Genomic DNA, 17,774 nt, shown 5'->3' on the forward strand with positions numbered 1-17,774 from the left:
GAGTTGTTGCAACTTTTTTCGAAAGCTGGGTTTCCCGGGAGATCCCAGGCGGTGACAGAGTGGAGCCATGGCTAGAGGTATTTGCCCAAGTGGCCGGCACCGGAGCGGCTGGGTCGGGGGTCGTGCTGGAGGGGTTGCCGGGGTGGAGGCAGCGGCTGCGGGGAGGCGTCCTCCTCGGGTGGCTCGGGGCAAGCTTGGGGACCCGCGTGGGGGGAGAGGGGGTGCTGCTGCGGAACCCGCCGGCCCCCCCTTGCGGCTCCAGATGCCCCCAGAAACCCTTCCCACTGCCGTGCTTCTGTTTCCCTTCTATGAAGTGAACACCTGCGGGCCTGCCTCTCCACGGCAGCAGATCCATATGTCAGAGCTCTTTGGAAACTAAAGCGCAGGGCACCTCCAGGGAATAGGTGTTATTGATAGAAGTGGGGCGGGGGCAGGAGTGAGGCTTCGCCCACTTTGGGGCCCTCTCTCTTTGGGAAAGGAGGTGATCCCGAGGCGAAGGCGCAGATCGATAACCTGCATATTGGGGTGCGCGTCAGGGTGGACACCGCAGCAGGCGCCTTTCCTCCCTCCCCACGTCCTGAGTCAGCTCTGCGCCGCTGGAGCGAAGGCCGGGCCCCGCTGGCCCACTTTGGGGTAAAACGGGTTCCTGGCATCTCGCGGGCGCGGTCGTTCGCCCCGCATCTGGTCAGGACTTCGCCCCCCGGTAGATGGCTTGGGTGGGCTTGTACAGCCCTGGGAGGCGATGCCCTGTCTGAAGTCCTCTGCATACTTAGTTGGCTGTCAGGACAGTGCCTCCCAGGTATGCGGCAAAGAGATCTCCAACCGCTTGGTCATTTCCAGCCACTGCGTCTCCTTCACGCCAAAGGGCCAAAAACTTGAGCGTGAAAGTTGAGTAGAATTAGTATTAAAAAAAAAAAAAAGTTTTGGTATTATATTTTTCTCAAAATTTCAAGGCTTCAAGTGTTAGTAGGAATTTGCTTTAGTGCAGTATGCTCCCTATAGCAATAATAATGAATAAAATAATGATTCATTCAGTAAATATCTATTGGGTCCCTTTGTTTTCAGGCCCTGAAGTCAGTTGCATCATCTATTCTCCTAGCATCCCTAGAGGTTCTTTTGGGATAAGACTTACCCAGAGCCTGATGAAAAAATGAGGCATAGTAAACTTCAGGTTAAAGAGCTTCATCACTCAACTCTTGGAGAAAATTAATACTAATATTTTTCCTTTGAAAAGTGTTAAGCATCTAAAAGTATATTTAACATTATCTGACTAATTTATCTGACAAATTTTAATAAAACTATGCTTCCTGGGTTCATTTTTCTCATCACAGCAAAATCATTTAAACTACTTGTTTTAAAAGTAGTGCATTAATTAATATATGAAGAAAACTAACCATCTATCATTGAAATACTTAAAATATGACTAAATAATAATTATGGCCAGGCATGGTGGCTCACACCTGTAATCCTAGCACTTTGGGAGGCCAAGGCGGGCAGATCACCTGAGGTCGGGAGTTCGAGACCAGTCTGACCAACATGGAGAAATCCCGTCTCTACTAAAAATACAAAATTAGCCGGGCATGGCAGCGCATGCCTGTAATCCCAGCTACTTGGGAGGCTGAGGCAGGGAGAATTGCCTGAACCTGGGAGGTGGAGCTTGCAGTGAGCCGAGATTACGTCACCGCACTCCAGCATGGGCAACAGAGCAAGACTCCATCTCAAAAAAACAAACAAGAACAATAACAAAATAATAATAATTACCACTGAGGGCCAGGCACTTTATTAACTCAATTGATCTTTACAAATTGTTATTCTCATTTTTTGGAAGAGGAAGCGTGAAGTCCAAACTTGCTGTCCAGACTCTAGCTTGGCTGGGTCTTTGCTTGTGCCACCCAACCTCCCTTACTTACCCAAAGCGAAGATAATGTTTGTCAGCTCCTCCCATGGCAGCTTACAAATCACCTATGTAATTATTAGTTATTGATTCTCACTGTCTCACTTGACCCCCAAATTAGTAGTTACCTGTTTCTTAGGCTTTACTGCCCTTGCAAGCTATTAAATTGGATATTTAGATTTAGATTTTTTTTTTTTTTTTTTTTTTTGAGACAGAGTCTCTCTCTGTCACCCAGGCTGGAGTACAGTGGAGTGATTTCAGCCCGCTTCACCCTCCCTCTCCTGTGTTCAAGTGATTCTTGTGCCTCAGCTTCCCAAGTAGCTGGGATTACAGGCACCTGTCACCACACCCAGCTAATTTTTGTATTTTTAGTAGAGACGGGGTTTCGCCATGTTGGCCAGGCTAGTCTTGAACTCCTGACCTCAGGTTATCTGCCCACCTCGGCCTCCCAGAGTGCTGGGATTACAGGCAAAAGCCACCACGCCTGGCCAATATTTAGAATTGTAAATACCAAATCATTTACAGCACTTCAAATGAACAGTCTTTTTCTTCTAGAAAATTGGGCTTTGAACTTGCAATTCACTTTGAGAGCCCTGCTGGGTCACAGAAACAAACTGGTCAGATGCCAGGCAACACCTCACTCATTTTGAAGTTTTATAATCATGCAAATATTTACAACCCCAATATATTAGTCTCAGGGGTCAGTCCACCTACCTTTCACTATTTCTACTGCCATTGTTGAATGGTCTCTTGGTTGGTTGCCCTCCTCATTTTGCCATCTTCAGTTCATTATCCCTTAGCACCTGGTGGGGGGGTCTCCAAAAATACAGACTTTTCTTTTTTTTTGGGAGACAGAGTCTCACTCTGTCACCCAGGATAGAGTGCAGTGGCACAATCTTGGCTCACTGCAAACTCCACCCCCCTGGGTTCAAGTGACTCTCCTGCCTCAGCCTCCCAAGTAGCTGGGATTACAGGCATGCGCAACCACGCCAAGCTAATTTTTGTATTTTTAGTAGAGACGGGGTTTCGCCATGTTGGCCAGGCTGGTCTCAAACTCCTGATTTCAGGTGATTTGCCCTCCTCTGCCTCCCAAGGTGCTGGGATTACAGGTGTGAGCCACTGCGCCCAGCTGGTGTATTTGTTATATACGTATAAACTTGCGGAGAAAGGACTGTTTTGAAACTTACATTGAATGATCTGTATTTACATCTTCTAGGTACTGGAGCTGCAGAATTGAGAGGAATAGGTGCTAGACTTGTAATGTGTCCCCTGCAATTGGGGGCTCAAATGCAGAGAAAGCTATGACCATGAGTGGGGCGTGGGGTGTGGCTCGGTATACTAGAATGTGAAATGGATAAGATGATCTATGTGGGTGCTTCCTGCTCCAAAACCATGATTCTCATGGCAGTTAAGCTGCAAAACTTCTCTGCCTTGCAGAAATAGAAGACGCTTTCAAATGGCTCAACCTGGTTATCAGAGTGTCACTTTCGAATCCTCTTTCACCCTCTGGGTAATCTTTTGGATATTCAACTGTAGTAGGCTCTGCAGAGGGCATAGGCAGAGTACCTAGCCCACTGGAGTTAGTGGTTGGGCTGGAGACCCTGCCTTGAAGGATGCTAAAGCATGAGCTGATTTGGGAGGGATTGTCTGAGCAGTGACCTGTCACCACCTAATCCTACTCAGTCTTATCCGTTCCAATGGGAGTCGAGGGAGGCTAGGTGGGAGGATGGCTACAAACAGCCATTTGCTTATCTGTGGATGTTGGAAGGTGCTCTGGTGGATTATGGAATTCAAGGTTCTTGGTTTTTACCCATGAGGACACTGAGGCCCAGACTGGGGAAGTGACTTGGCGATGGTCACAAAACACCTCTGGGCAGATGCAGGGAAATAAGTCCAGCCCCTGACTCCCAGGCCATGGGCCAGGCTGCAGGAGCTGGATGCCTTGAAGTGTCTTGTTTGCATCTATGACTTTGCACAAATACAGTGAATCTGGCTGTGGGCCCTCAAGCCTTAATGGCCACAGAGTAGTGGTGCAGGGCAGTGAGCTATGCTGAAACAGCCACCAGAGTGACGGGAACCTCGTCTGCCTATGGGGGCATTTTCTCACGGCGGGATAGGAGAACAAGGTGACATGTTAAACCCTTCTGCAAGACCATTTGCTTCTCCCAAACTCCATTTCCTCATCTGTAACCAGGAAGGGTAGTGGCTGGGAGGGCAAGGCCCTGGGGTCAGTTGGCTGGGGCTGAAAACCCATCTAGTTCTGAGAACTTGGCCAAGCTCCTCACTTTCTCCATCTGTTGAAAAGAGATAATAATGGTGTCTACCTTTGCAGGGCTGCTGTGAGGTTTCAGTGAGATAACGGCAAGAGACTCGCCCAGGAAACCGATCATTATAACCCCTGGCTCTGTCTCCCCAGGGCTTCCTACCGGTCAAGTACAGCCCTTCTGGGTTTGACACCTGGCCCCATCACTTCCTAGTTCTGTGGCCCGGGACAAACCCCTGCACATCCCTTGAGTCACAGTGTCACCATTGTAAGCTGGGATGCCGACAGGACCTGCCCCCGTGGGCGTGCGGGGAGGATTCAATGCCTGTGAAACTCTCGGTGGGCACAGCGCCGGGCACACCCGAGGGCCTGGCCTGGCGCGTTCACCGCTGCTGATTTCGTCTGGCACAGACCGGGTTCCCAAAATATCCGCAGAGCCAGCGGAAAAAGGAGCCGGGCGGGCTGGCGGGAGGGCGGGCGGGAGCCTGGGCTGTCATGACGGTGTTTCCCACCCCTTCCTCCGCGAGTGGCTGAGGCCGCGCGAGAGGGGGCGCGCCCGAGCCGGGATTCGCCGCGCCCGCCCGCCCGCCCTCCGGAGCGGCCTGGCGGCGCCGCCCCTACCAGCCCCCTCCCCGGGCCGGGCGCCGGACGGTGGGCGGCTGCGAGCGGGCGGGAGGGCTGCGGAGGACGCGCCGCCTGCGCCTCCTTCCCTTCGTGCCTCGCCCCGGGCGGCCCGGGGCTGCCGCGGTGCGCGGGTGCCGGGCCCTGCCTCGCCGGCCATGGGGGAAGGGGGCGCCGTGGGGCGCCGCCGGCCCTTCCCCGGGGCGCCGCGGCGGCGCTGGTGGCGGCGGCGAGGGCGCGGGGCGCGCCGCCATGGGCCTGGCCGGGCTGCAGGTGGGTGTGTCGGGCCCGGCCGCGCGGGGGGCGGGCGGCGCGCGGGGCCTGGCCGGGCCGGGCGGCGGGAGGGCGACGCGGGCTCCGGCCCGGCCCTCCCGGCTGCGCGGGCGGCTCACCAGAGCCGGGGCCTCGAAATATGGCTGCGGCGGGAGGCGCCGTCGCGGCGCCCGGCCCGGGCGGCCCCGCTCCCCGCCCCGCCGCGCCCTGAGCGCCCCCTCCCCCGCTTCCCCCGGGTCCCCTTCTCCAGGCAGGAAGATGTCCAAGCCCCGCGCGGTGGAGGCGGCGGCGGCGGCGGCGGCGGTGGCAGCGACGGCCCCGGGCCCGGAGATGGTGGAGCGGAGGGGCCCGGGGAGGCCCCGCACCGACGGGGTAAGCAGGCACCCTCCCCGCACCCCTGCGGCGCGCCCGCCGGGCCGGGGCCGCGAGCACATGGGCGACCCCGGGTACCCGCCCGGGGCGCCCGGCCGGGCCGCTTCCTTTGCTGCCGCCTGGCTGGGAGTGGCGCCCACACGGCTCCGCCATGAGCCTGGCGGTGTTTGACCTCGGAAAAGTTTGACTGCGCCTTCGTGGCGTCTCCGCAGCCCAAGACCCTACTTCCCCGGAGGTGGCCGCGGTCCCAGGCTGTGCGGGGCCTGCGCGGGCCCCTCGGAGAGGTCACGGGTCTCACCGCCTCGGTGTTGAATGGTCCCCGAGGCGGCGAGGGCCCGGCGTTGCTTCTGGGGACGCCCTCCTCCGTCTGTACTTACTCAGAGGAGGGGCCCCACGCCCAGAGGCGCCCGCAGTGACCTGAACCGCCCCACCGCCCCGTCCACTCTCTTACTGACGCCCAGGTGCGGCTTGCGACAAAGTGGCCGCCCCGAATGCGCTGGCTGTGGCTCCTGCTCTTCCCAGATTCCCCAGTCACCCTGAGAGAAGTCCTCCCGTCGCAGCCCTGGAGGCTGCGGGGCTGCAGTGATTTGAGAGGGGTCAGGCTCCGGCGCTCATGGGGCTCTGGCTGTGCTGACAGGCCCTCCAGCCGCCCTCAGCACCAAGTGGTTAATCAGGTTCCCCGGGGCGTGTTTCTGTGCTGAGTCCCTGCGGCTCCTGCCAGGGCAGTGAACTCCTAAAGATAGCCTAGCTCTTCACATGCCCAGGTCCTTTTGACCTCCCTGTTGCGGGTAGGCTGTCTTCTTCCTATATAGACCTTGGGTTGCAGCCGACTCTCCTGCTGGCCAGCTGTCCCCTTAGTGATTTAGAGACCAGCGCGTTTAGGAAACGTTTCACTGGACCTGGGATTCTAAACCTGCCAGTGCTCTCCTGAGACAATGGGGGCTGGCATCCCCTGGTAGCCCAGTTTTTGAAAAACGGTGTTGTCTGATTTTCATCTTTTGTATTCCTCCTCCTCGTGAATGCTCTAGGATCTTCTTCTTCAAGCCTCTTTCAGAATATGCTTTTGTCTTTTTAGGAGAACGTATTTACCGGGCAGTCAAAGATCTATTCCTACATGAGCCCGAACAAATGCTCTGGAATGCGTTTCCCCCTTCAGGAAGAGAACTCAGTTACACATCACGAAGTCAAATGCCAGGGGAAACCATTAGCCGGAATCTACAGGAAACGAGAAGGTAAGCTTTTGAAATGGCCTCGTTCTGATCCCAGCTGGTCGGGTTGCAGAAGCCTCTGTCCTCTGCAAGAATGCACATATGTATTTATCCAACCTTTTCAGTCTCAGATTCGAGAGGTTTGAGCCATGTTCTGTCTTGCTGCTGAAAGAATGGCTTGTCCCAGGGTGTGTGCCCTGTTGGTTTGACAGGTTTTCCCTGCTTTCACAAGAGTTAGCATATCCTTCAAGCTTGATTGTCTTGCTTAGTTGCAAAAATAACATACCTGACCCACAATTAGAGAGGCTCACAAGTGCTGAAAGTGCAGAAGTCATGAATTCAGGTTGTACAGACCAGGCAATTGCAGACCTAACTAATGTGTTCATGTAGGGAACTGACTTCCTTCCCTTTTATGAGCTGGCCTTGACCCCATTTCTTTTTCTTTTTTTGAGACGGATTTCCGCTCTCGTCCCTCAGGCTGAAGTGCAATGGCACGATCTCAGCTCACTGCAACCTCCGCCTCCTGGGCTCAAGCGATTCTTCTGCTGCAGCCTCCTGAGTAGCTGGGATTACAAGCGGCCGCCACCACGCCCAGCTAATTTTTGTATTTTTGGTAGAGACGGGATTTCACCGTGTTGGCTAGACTGGTCTCAAACTCCTGACCTCAGGTGATCCACCTGCCTTGGCCTCCCAAAATGATGGGATTACAGGCATGAGCCACCGCGCCTAGCTGCCTTGACCCCATTTCTAAAGTTTCCTGCCAATCAAGCATTTGGTGTTAGTTTCTGAAGCAGCATCCTATGCAATGAGATTTGGAGTTAAAATGTTAAACCCGAAAATACAGGGTTAATGAAAACGGTCTGGTCTTGCAAAACAAACTGAAACCTCTTAGACATCTTGCTCTAATCCAAATATTCCCTTTCAAAGCTGCAGTGGGGAGTGTCAGCTTTCCCCAATTCACCATGCTCTCTTCTAATTAAAACTTGTCTGAAAGAAGCAGAGCCTCTGGCTGCCAGCAGCTCCATACAAGGAAGCCTTGTGTTCGCTAACAGAAAGTGTCATAAATGACGATTTGGCATGACCTCTGGGGCCGGATCTGAGAACCAGGGCTGGGCAAGCCCTGAACTGGGGACAGGAGCCCACCCTGTGCTTGATCTCCCCTGGTACACAGGGCAATATTGTTTTATTTGATCTTCAGATGACTTGGGTTCCAATCTTAAGTTTGCCACCTGAAAGAAGGAGGCTTAGATAGGTTGCTGCTCTCTTCTGAGCCTCTGTTCTCTCATCTGTAAATGGGGAGAGAGGAGTCTGACCTCACACACACAGGACTGTTTTGAAGGGTGGTTGCAGCGTGGATGCCAAAGGGCTTTGTGGTGGACTCCATGTGCCAGCTCTTCACCCCTGGACTGCCAGCTCATCCCTGGACCTGTGGCACTTAGAATTCCTGCCCATAGGGTTGGGGAGAGGCGCTGTCTATAAATGGTAGTTGCCCGGACTCTAGTCCTTTAAAATAGGGCAGTCTATACATTGTACCAAATGGTGGCCTGGTATACAAGCTAGTATATTTGGCTCATGGTTTTACTAAATGGCCATGATTAGAATTTTGGGTCAGAGTCCGGGCATGGTGGCTCGGGTTTGTAATTCCAGCACTTTGGTAGGCCAAGGCAGGAGGATTGCTTGAGCCCAGGAGTTTGAGACCAGCCTGGGCAACATAGTGAGGCCTCATCTCTACAACAATGAAAACAAAAAAAATTAGCCTGGCATGGTGGCATGCATCTGTAGTCCCAGCTGCTTGGGAGGCTAAGGCAGGAGGATCCCTAGCACCCAGGAGTTTAAAGCTGCAGTGAGCTATGATCATGCCACTGCACTCCAACCTGGGGAACAGAGAGAAACCCCATCTCTAATATAAAAATAAAAAGAATTTAGGTCAGCTGGACTTTGGAGACCCCAAGGTCCAGGCTGTGGTCCGTGATTCTGCTGTGATACAGACTGAGTGATAGATAATGTTCACGGGCACCACACACTCCTGGGCCTGATGTCCTGGCTTTAATTCTCTCTGATTTCACCCAGGAAGGTGTGTAGAGGAGGAAGAAAGATCTGGATGGTTTTAATGGTTTTTGTTTGTTTTTTTTGAGACACAGTCTCGCTCTGTCTTGCAGTCTGGAGTGCAGTGGTGCAATCTCGGCTCACTGCAACCTCCATCTCCCGGGTTCAAGCAATTATCCTGCCTCAACCTCCCAAGTAGCTGAGATTACAGGTGCCCGCCACCACGCTCGGCTAATTTTTTGTATTTTCAGTAGAGATGGGGTTTCACCATGTTGGCCAGGCTGGTCTTGAACTCCTGACCTCAGGTGGCCCACCCGCCTTGGCCTCCCAAAGTGCTGGGATTACAGGTGAAGTCACTGTGCCCGGCCTAATGTATTTATTTATTTTTCTGTTTTGTTTATCTAGATATAGTTAATATATCATAACGTTCATGTTAAAGCGTATGAGTCGGTGGTTTTTAGTATATTCACAGGGTTGCGCAACCATTACCACAGTCTAATTCCAGAACGTTTCCATCACCCCAGAAAGGTACCCATTAGGCGTCACCTTCGATTCCCCATCCCTCTAGTCCAAGGTAACCATTAAAGTACTTTCTGTCTCTGTGGATTTGCCTGTTTTGGACATTTCATATGGATGGAATCACAAAATACATAGCCTTTTGTGTCTGGCTTCTTTCACTGAGCATCATGTCTTCAAGGTTCATCCGCGGTGTAATAAGTATCAGTGCTTCATTCCTTTTTTTTATTTTTGAGAAGGAGTCTCTCTCTCTCACCCAGGCTGGAGTACAATGGTGCAATCTTGGCTCACTGCAACCTCTGCCTCCCAGGTTCAAGCTATTCTCCTGCCTCAGCCTCCCAAATAGCTGGGATTATAGGCGCACACCACCACGCCTGGCTAATGTTTTTATATTTTTAGTAGAGATGGGGTTTTACCATCTTGGCCAGGCTGGTCTCGAACTCTTGACCTCAGGGGAGCCACCCTGCCCAGCCCTTCATTCCTTTTTATGGCTGGATAATACTCCCTTTTGTGGATAGGCCACATTTTGTTTATTCATCTGTTGATGGACATTTGGGTTGTTTCCACTTTTTGGCTATTACAAATAAACTGTTACGTTCCTGCATAGATTTTTTTGGGGACATATGTTTTTAATTCTCTGGAATAGATGCCTAGGAGTGAAATTGCTGGGTCATATGGTAACTCTGTGTTTAACTTTTTGGGAAAATGTCAAACTGTTTCTAAAGTGGCTGCACCATTTTATATCTGTGAGCAGCGTACTATTTACTTAATTTTTTTTTCTTTTTTTTTTTTTTTTTGAGACAGAGTCTCACTCTTTCGCCCAGGTTGGAGTGCAATGGCATGATCTTAGCTCACTGCAACCTCCGCCTCCCAGGTTCAAGCAGTTCTCCTGCCTCAGCCTCCTGAGTAGCTGGGATTACAAGTGTCCGCCAGTACACTTGGCTAATTTTTGTATTTTTAGTAGAGATGGGGTTTACCATGTTGGCCAGGCTGGTCTTGAACTCCCGACCTCAGGTGATCCGCCAGCCTCGGCTTCCCAAAGTGCTGGGATTACAGGCAGGAGCCACTGTGTCCAGCCTATTTACTTAGTTATTTAAAAGTAAAACATTTTTTAAAAAGGTAAGCAGTTTTCCAACACTGTCACTCCACAAGTGTTTTAAGTGACAGATCATTGCAGTGTGTCTCCCGATACCCAGGCCAGTCTGCTGGGGCACCATGCTGAGAACTGCTGTGAACCTGGGGCTTCAACCCCACTAGAAGGGGACCTTCTTTTTCTTCGGAGTCTGAAATGAAGGGTGCCAGGCAGCTCTTGGGGAAGAGTTTCTGCTTTGTCACCTTACTCCTGTCCCCTAATGCTGTCCCAGCCTTCAGGAATGGAGCTTTTGATCTGAGTCTGCAACCTGATTCCTGAAAGCTATTGATCAAGCACCCTGCCAGCGTCTCCGTCTCTGGTGCCTCTCCCTCACAGGCTCTCTATCTCCCACGTCAAGATGCAAAAGCCTAAAACCTCTGCCCAGTGTCTTGGTCAAAAAATCGAGCTGGAGCTAGGCACTCCCCCTGTCATAGCCCATAGCGGACACGGGGCTTAACAGGCCAAGGGCACTCCTGCCTGACAAACCCAGGATCCTGTCTTCTCAAAGCTTGTCTTAGAATGCAGCTGGTCGTCTGGAAATTGAGAGACAGTACAGAATAAACCCGTCTTTCCCCCACCTCCGCCTGCAGAGAAAAGAAATGCTGGGAACGCAGTACGGAGCGCCATGAAGTCCGAGGAACAGAAGATCAAAGACGCCAGGAAAGGTCCCCTGGTACCTTTTCCAAACCAAAAATCTGAAGCAGCAGAACCTCCAAAAACTCCACCCTCATCTTGTGATTCCACCAATGCAGCCATCGCCAAGCAAGCCCTGAAAAAGCCCATCAAGGGCAAACAGGCCCCCCGAAAAAAGTAAGTGCCCCATTCAGTCCTCTTCCTAACGTGGAGCAGTTTGGTTCCTCTGATGCCAGGGAAGCCTGCTCAGGTGCCCATGGGGGTTCAGTGGCCACCTCTCAGCCTCTCTCATGTCAAAGACTCAGATGCCCCGAGTCATCAGCAGGGATGCCACTGTTTGTCAGTTTCTGGATCTGGCATGGGTCCAGAGTTCAAGAGCCTCTCCTTCCTCCCCTCCTTACCCACCCCAGCATAAGCAGCCTTTGTTTTTTAAATTTATTTTTTTTGTTTGTCTTTTTTGGTGATTGGTGTTTTGTGTTTTTTTTTTTTTTTTTTTGAGACAGAGTCTCTTGTTGCCCAGGCTGGAGTGCAATAGTGCGATCTCGGCTCACTGCAAACACCACCTCCTGGGTTCAAGCGATTCCCCTGCCTCAGCCTCCTGAGTAACTGGGATTACAGGTGCATGCCACCATGTCCCGCTTATTTTTGTATTTTTATTAGAGACAGGGTTTCACCATGTTGGTCAGGCTGGTCTCAAACTCCTGACCTCGTGATCTGCCTGCCTCAGCCTCCCAAAGTCCTGGGATTACAGGCGTGAACCACCATGCCCGACTGTTGTGTTTTTTGAGACAGGGTCTTATTCTGTCATCCAGGCTGGAGTGCAGTAGCTCACTGCAGCCTCAACCTCTCAGGACCAAGTGATCCTCCTACTTCAGCCTCCCGAGTAGTTGGGACCATAGGTGTGCACCACCATGCCTGGCTAATTTCTTTCCTTTTTTTAGAGACGGGGTTTTGCTGTGTTGCCTGAGTTGGTCTTGAACTCCTGGGCTCAAGTGATCCTCCCGCCTCAGCCTCCCAGAGTGTTGGCATTACAGGCATGAGGCACTGCGCCCAGCCAGCAGCCCGTCTTTGAAACTCCTCTGAGGCCCTCATGGGCAGGTGACTGAGTGACCTGCAGGCTCCAGTGGACAAAGGTGTTTAAGTGACATCATCTCCAAGGAGCTGTGTGCCTCCTCGGTGTGTGCCTTCTAAGGAGCTGTGTGCCTCCAGGTTTTCAGTCCTGATATTTATTTTCTCCTCTTCCCCTCTTACCCAGAGCTCAAGGAAAAACGCAACAGAATCGCAAACTTACGGATTTCTACCCTGTCCGAAGGAGCTCCAGGAAGAGCAAAGCCGAGCTGCAGGTAGTCACGTGCTTTAAATTCCAGTTTGTGGAGGGGCAGGGTGGCCCACCAAGCAGTGCTTGGCGTGTGCGTATGTGTGTGTCCTCAGCCTTGTTTTCGTCATCTTGGAGCAAGTCTCTTGGCCCCTCTGGACTTGGTTTTCTCCTGGATCTATCGGGGATCCTCACAAAGCTTGTCCTGCCTTTCTGCTGGGGTCACTGCAGGGCTTGGTTAAGACACTTGTGTGAAGGAACCTTGTGACTTGTAGCATGTGGCAGGGAAAGCCAGGTGTGACTCTGAAGGTGGATTTTCCAGGACTTGTTGGCAGAGCCATTGGGAGCCTGGGACTGTGGGAAAGGCTGCCTGTTCTTTCAGAGGCTTTTCTTGTCTGTTTTCTGGAAGTTTCCATGTTGTGGCCCAGGGTGTTAAACAGCAGTGGCTTGGGGCCACTTGCTGGTTGCGTAGCCTTGGGCCAGTCACTTACCCTGTCCATGCCTTGGCTCTCCAGTCTGTAAAATGGTACAATAATGTAGTACCTGCTAGAGCTGTGGTGAGCATTCAATAAATGTGGTCATGCAAGAGGAACCCTTAGAACCATGCTTGGCACTCAGTAAGTGCCAGCTAACTGTTACTATCGCCACCTCTGCTTCCTCAGTGTTGTCACTCCCGTCTGCTCTTTCCCACGCTGCTGCCATACTAGGAGCCTGCAGACCAGTGAGCAGCACCGGCTGGAAGGCCAGCTGGCCTATGCGGGCCTCCGCTGCCATGTTTGCAGAGGGTTGAGCTATGCGGCAGGCAGTCAATATTTGCTGCAGTGAGGTGTGGTTATTGCCTTTCTGTGAAGGAAACGCAGGGCATGGCAGGTCCCTCTGCTCTTCCCCCTCAGGGACACCTGGGGCTGCCCCTCTGCTCTCCCTCACCCCCACAGTGACCACCGGGTTGGGAGAGGTGCTCAGGATTGCATCCTACACAGAGAGGTGGGGACCCCGGCTTTGGCAGTTTCAGCATTTCAGCCCTCATGCGGACTCCTTCAGCGTTCTTGATGTTAAATGCGCAGATACACAGTGGTCTAGTATTCTTTCTCTTTTTCTTTTAATTGATGAAGCTTCATTTAAAAAAAATTTTTAAAAAGGTCCATTTTCTTCCCCACAGAGAGCAGCTTTGGTTTTATTGCCTGAAAAAGGCAATGTCTTTCAGCCAAGAATGAGCTGTTTAAAACATTTGTCAGCAGTGGGAGGCTGTGCTAGGTCACTTTTTTTTTTTTTTTTTTTTGAGATGGAGTTTTGCTCTTGTTGCCCAGGCTGGAGTGCAATGGCGTGATCTCGACTCACCGCAACCTCCATCTCTTGGGTTCAAGTGATTCTCCTGTCTCAGCCTCCTGAGTAGCTGGGACTACAGGCATTCGCCACCACGCCCAGCTAATTTTGTATTTTTTTTTTTTAGTGGAGATTGGATTTGTCCATGTTGGTCAGGCTGGTCTCGAACTCTCGACCTCGGGTGATCCGCCCACCTCAGCCTCCCAAAGTGCTGGGATTACAGACGTGAGCCACCGTGCTCGGCCTGCTAGGTCACTCTTAAAGACAGCACTGGGCCAGGTGCAGTGGCTCACACCTGTAATCCTAGCACTTTGGGAGGCCCAGGTGAGCGGATCATCTGAGGTCAGGAGTTCGAGACCAGCCTGGCCAACATGGTGAAACCTTGTCTCTACTAAAATACAAAAATTAGCCAGGCATGATGGCAGGTGCCTGTAATCCCAGCTACTTGGGAGGCTGAGATGGGAGAATCACTTGAACCCAGGAGACGGTAGTTGCAGTGAGCCGAGATCGCGCCACCGCACTCCATCTTGGGTGGCTGAGCAAGACTCCGTCTCAAAAAAAAAAAAAGACAGCACTGCAGATGGTGAGGTGGTGCCAGACCACAGAATCCCAGACACCTCCCAGCCAGGGTTGGAGCTGCGGTGTGCCCACACACAGGGCCTCTGCTGAGCGTCCACCAAGGGCTGCTGTGGACTTTAGGGTGGGGGGAGCCGAGTTGGCCTTGTTAATAAGAAGCAAGAGTTTGTGCTGGGCAGAGTGAAGGCTGCGATGGGACAGGATGCAGGTCTGCTAAATCTTGCAGCAGATGAGCAGAAGGGAAGAACACACTTGCTTCCCTAAAGCACAGTCTGCAAACACAAGAAAGCTCGCCCTGTTCCTGGACCGGGAGCCGTGCTTTGCCCCCCACTGTTTGTGTTGGCTCTGCTGAGTGCAGCCATGCAAGCTGTTGCTGGCCAGGGCAGGGAGGCCATAGCTGGCCGGGATGACGTGGCTAGAGCTGGTCAGGGTGGAATATTTTCTGACTGCACAGATAAAGCCCAAGAACGGGACAGCTGGGGCTCATCTGAAGGGTGGGGTCAGTCCTGACTTGACTGCCATGCTGGGCCCAGGCTGTGGATCCAGGAGGGTGGGGCATAATACAGCCTGTTGTTGGCCAGATGGTCTGGGGTGAAACTGCAATTCAGAGCCTCTTATATACCTCCACTGAGGCTGAAGACAGCAGCCAGGGCGGGCCTAGCGCCAGGGCGTGGGTCCTGGGCAACAGGGTGGGATCAGGGCTGCTGGATTTGGACACAAGGTGGGCCTTGGAGAGATGCCCTATCCACCAAGTGCTTCACTGCAGGGGCCCCTTGGCCGGCCAGCCTGGCTGTGGGTGGGGTGGCAGCCAGCAGCGGGGCAGGGACCATGCCTCTTGGCAATGGCTGGGCTTCCTCATGCCCAGCTCGGCCCCAGGGCCAGATGTGCAAGCAGCCTGCTGATTCCGCTTGGGAAGGTCCCCTCCTTCCTGGTCACAGGCGCTTCTCAACTGCCCTAGTTCCAACCTTGTATCCCTCCCACTCCATCTCCTTCTAGGCCCATTTGTGGGTTCCTGCCAGAAGTCCCTTTAGAAAACCCAGGGCTGGTTGTTTGCAGGCCCCAAATTCCAGGCCTTTGGGAGACTCAGCCTCCCTGGCTTTGTGCCGGGGCATCTGGCCTGGTCCCAGCTTCCCTCTGCGCATCTCCTACCTGCCGTGTTTGGTCCCAGCAGAAAAACCCCCATTCCACTACCCCGGTCTTTCCATGATCACTCCCGTTTACATGGGCCCCCGTACTTCTCAGCACTCTCTGCACACTTGCAATGAATGGGTCACACAGCAAGGTGGTTATGTGTGTGATGGTGGTGGTGTTGCTTTGAGGGCCTGCTGTGTGCACTGTTCTAGACCAGGAGATTCCACAGTAAACTAGACCAGCCCGTAGGGCTTGTTTTCCAATGGGGAGTAATTAACAACAAAAAAGACACCAGCTACTTGGGAGGCTGAGGTGGGAGGATTACTTGAGAACAGAAGTTCAGTACCAACCTGGGCAACATTGTGAGACCCCATCTTTTGTGGGTTTTTTGTTGTTTTGTTTTTTTCGAGACAGAGTCTCACACTGTCACCTAGGCTGGAGTGCAATGGCGCGATCTTGGCTCACTGCAGCCTCCACCTCCCGGGTTCAAGTGATTCTCCTGCCTCAGTCTCCTGAGTACCTGGGATTACAGGCGCCCACCACCATGCCCAGCTGATTTTGTATTTTTAGTAGAGACAGGGTTTCACTGCGTTGGCCAGGCTGGTCTCAAAATGCCTGACCTCATGATCCACTTGCCTCGGCCTCCCAAAGTGCTGGGATTACAGGCGTGAGCCACTGAGCCCGGCCGTGAGACCCCATCTTAAAAAATAATTAAAAAGGCCTCCCAAGTAGCTGGGACTACAGGCGCCTGCCACCACGCCCGGCTAATTTTTGGTGTTTTTAGTAGAGACGGGGTTTCACCGTGTTAGCCAGGATGGTCTCGATCTCCTGACCTTGTGATCCGCCCGCCTCGGCCTCCCAAAGTGCTGGGATTACAGGCGTGAGCCACCGTGCCCAGCCAAAAAGTTTTTAAAATGTTTTTATTTTGCAATTTTTTTTTTTTTGAGACAGAGTCTCACTCTGTAGCCCGCGCTGGAGTGCAGGTGTGCGATCTCGGCTCACTGCAACCTCCACCTCCCAGGTTCAAGCAATTCTCCTGCCTCAACCTCCCAAGTAGCTGGGATTATAGGCGCTTGCCACCACGCCCAGCTAATTTTTGTGTTTTTAGTAGAGACAGAGTTTCACCATGTTGGTCAGGCTGGCCTCAAACTCCTGACCTTGTGATCCGCCCACCTTGGCCTCCCAAAGTGCTAGGATTACAGATGTGAGCCACCGCGCCTGGCCAATAATTTTAATTTTATAGAAAAGTTGCAAAGATAATACAGAGAGTTCCCCAGACTCCTTACCCATCTTCTCTCACTTAAGTTACTCTGGTGAATTTGTCACAGCTAAGTAACAACCAACATTGGTATATTACTGTTGGTTGAAGTTTTTTTTTTGTTTTTTGTTTTTTGTTTTGAGACAAGGTCTCACTCTGTTGCCCAGGCTGGAGTACAGTGGCATGATTATGGCTTACTAACCTCCGCCTCCTGGCCTGAGACTCCCAAGTAGCTTGGATTACAAGTGTGCACCACTATGCCCGGCTGATTTTTGTATTTTTAGTAGAGACAGGGTTTCGTCATGTTGGCCAGGCTGGTCTCGAACTCCTGACCTCAGGTGATCCACCTGCCTTGGCCTCCCAAACTGCTGGGATTACAGGCATGAGCCACTGTACCTGACCAAGTTTTGTTGTTGTTTTTTTTAAATCTATTCCACCAATATATATCTTTCTTTTTTTTTTTTTTTTTTTTTTGAGATGGAGTCTTGCTCTGTTGCCAAGGCTGGAGTGCAGTGGCGCGATCTTGGCTCACTGCAAGCTCCGCCTCCCGGGCTCACACCATTCTCCTGCCTCAGCCTCCCGAGTAGCTGGGACTACAGGTGCCCACCACCATGCCCGGCTAATTTTTTGTATTTTTAGTAGAGATGGGGTTTCACCATGTTAGCCAGGATGGTCTCGATCTCCTGACTTCGTGATCCGCCCGCCTCGGCCTCCCAAAGTGCTGGGATAACAGGTGTATATCTTTCTTTTTTTTTTAACCTTCTTGACCCTTATCTTTCATATCTTTTAAGTGGAACATTTTAGTCCATTTATGTTTAAGGTTAATATTGATATGTGAGGTTTTGTTAGGTATATTACTATTAAATAAGTTTATGGGAAGGTTTTTTTTTGTTTTTTGTTTCTTTTTGAGATGGAGTCTTGCTCTGTCTCCCAGGCTGGAGTGCAGTGGTGCGATCTTGGCCTACTGCAAACTCCACCTCCTGGGTTCAAGCGATTCTCCTGCCTCAGCCTCCTGAGTAGCCGGGATTACAGGTGTGTGCCACCACGCCCAGCTAATTTTTGTGTTTTTAGTAGAGACGGGGTTTCGCCATGTTGGCCAGGCTGGTCTCAAACTCGTAACCTCAAGTGATCCACCCACCTCAGCCTCCCAAAGTGCTGGGATGACAGACGTGAGCCACCATGCCTGGTCATGTTTTCTGTTTTTTTTTAAGAC

The 17,774-nt window shown here is 52.2% G+C and overlaps 1 protein-coding gene across 10 annotated transcripts in view, besides 5 other annotated features; it reads left to right on the forward strand.

Annotated features, from left to right (window-relative positions):
- KMT5A (lysine methyltransferase 5A) overlaps window positions 1–17,774 on the forward strand; it is a 25,222-nt gene continuing 7,448 nt past the window's right edge. For 2 of the 10 annotated variants that reach the window (NR_136910.2, NM_020382.7), the window contains exons 1-5: window positions 1–77; window positions 5,302–5,423; window positions 6,499–6,655; window positions 10,916–11,135; window positions 12,214–12,301. Coding sequence is in view for 9 of the 10 variants with exons in the window: in NM_020382.7 (NP_065115.3) it covers window positions 68–77; window positions 5,302–5,423; window positions 6,499–6,655; window positions 10,916–11,135; window positions 12,214–12,301 (597 nt within the window). In the remaining variant the exon portion in view is untranslated. Of the gene's footprint in view, window positions 78–4,779; window positions 5,052–5,301; window positions 5,424–5,905; window positions 6,212–6,498; window positions 6,656–7,143; window positions 7,300–10,915; window positions 11,136–12,213; window positions 12,302–17,774 lie in introns of those variants that run through there. The other 8 variants (NM_001324504.2, XM_047428836.1, NM_001367386.2 and 5 more) reach the window with 8 other exon arrangements.
- Window positions 122–291: a silencer, noted in NCBI's record as "silent region_5041". NCBI's record gives its function as "represses an Ori minimal core promoter by ATAC-STARR-seq in GM12878 lymphoblastoid cells {active_cell/tissue: GM12878}" and the evidence as "EXISTENCE:reporter gene assay evidence [ECO:0000049][PMID:35858748]".
- Window positions 472–631: an enhancer, noted in NCBI's record as "active region_7262". NCBI's record gives its function as "activates an Ori minimal core promoter by ATAC-STARR-seq in GM12878 lymphoblastoid cells {active_cell/tissue: GM12878}" and the evidence as "EXISTENCE:reporter gene assay evidence [ECO:0000049][PMID:35858748]".
- Window positions 4,643–5,002: a silencer, noted in NCBI's record as "silent region_5042". NCBI's record gives its function as "represses an Ori minimal core promoter by ATAC-STARR-seq in GM12878 lymphoblastoid cells {active_cell/tissue: GM12878}" and the evidence as "EXISTENCE:reporter gene assay evidence [ECO:0000049][PMID:35858748]".
- Window positions 5,423–5,532: a silencer, noted in NCBI's record as "silent region_5043". NCBI's record gives its function as "represses an Ori minimal core promoter by ATAC-STARR-seq in GM12878 lymphoblastoid cells {active_cell/tissue: GM12878}" and the evidence as "EXISTENCE:reporter gene assay evidence [ECO:0000049][PMID:35858748]".
- Window positions 17,741–17,774: part of an enhancer, noted in NCBI's record as "NANOG-H3K27ac-H3K4me1 hESC enhancer chr12:123886419-123887182 (GRCh37/hg19 assembly coordinates)", that runs on past the window's edge. NCBI's record gives its function as "activates a minimal SCP1, AML or CMV promoter by ChIP-STARR-seq in naive H9 embryonic stem cells {active_cell/tissue: H9 hESC(naive)}" and the evidence as "EXISTENCE:reporter gene assay evidence [ECO:0000049][PMID:30033119]".

The sequence above is a fragment of the Homo sapiens genome, chromosome 12 (genome assembly GCF_000001405.40).
Source record: "Homo sapiens chromosome 12, GRCh38.p14 Primary Assembly".
In the NCBI taxonomy this organism is placed as follows: domain Eukaryota; kingdom Metazoa; phylum Chordata; class Mammalia; order Primates; family Hominidae; genus Homo; species Homo sapiens.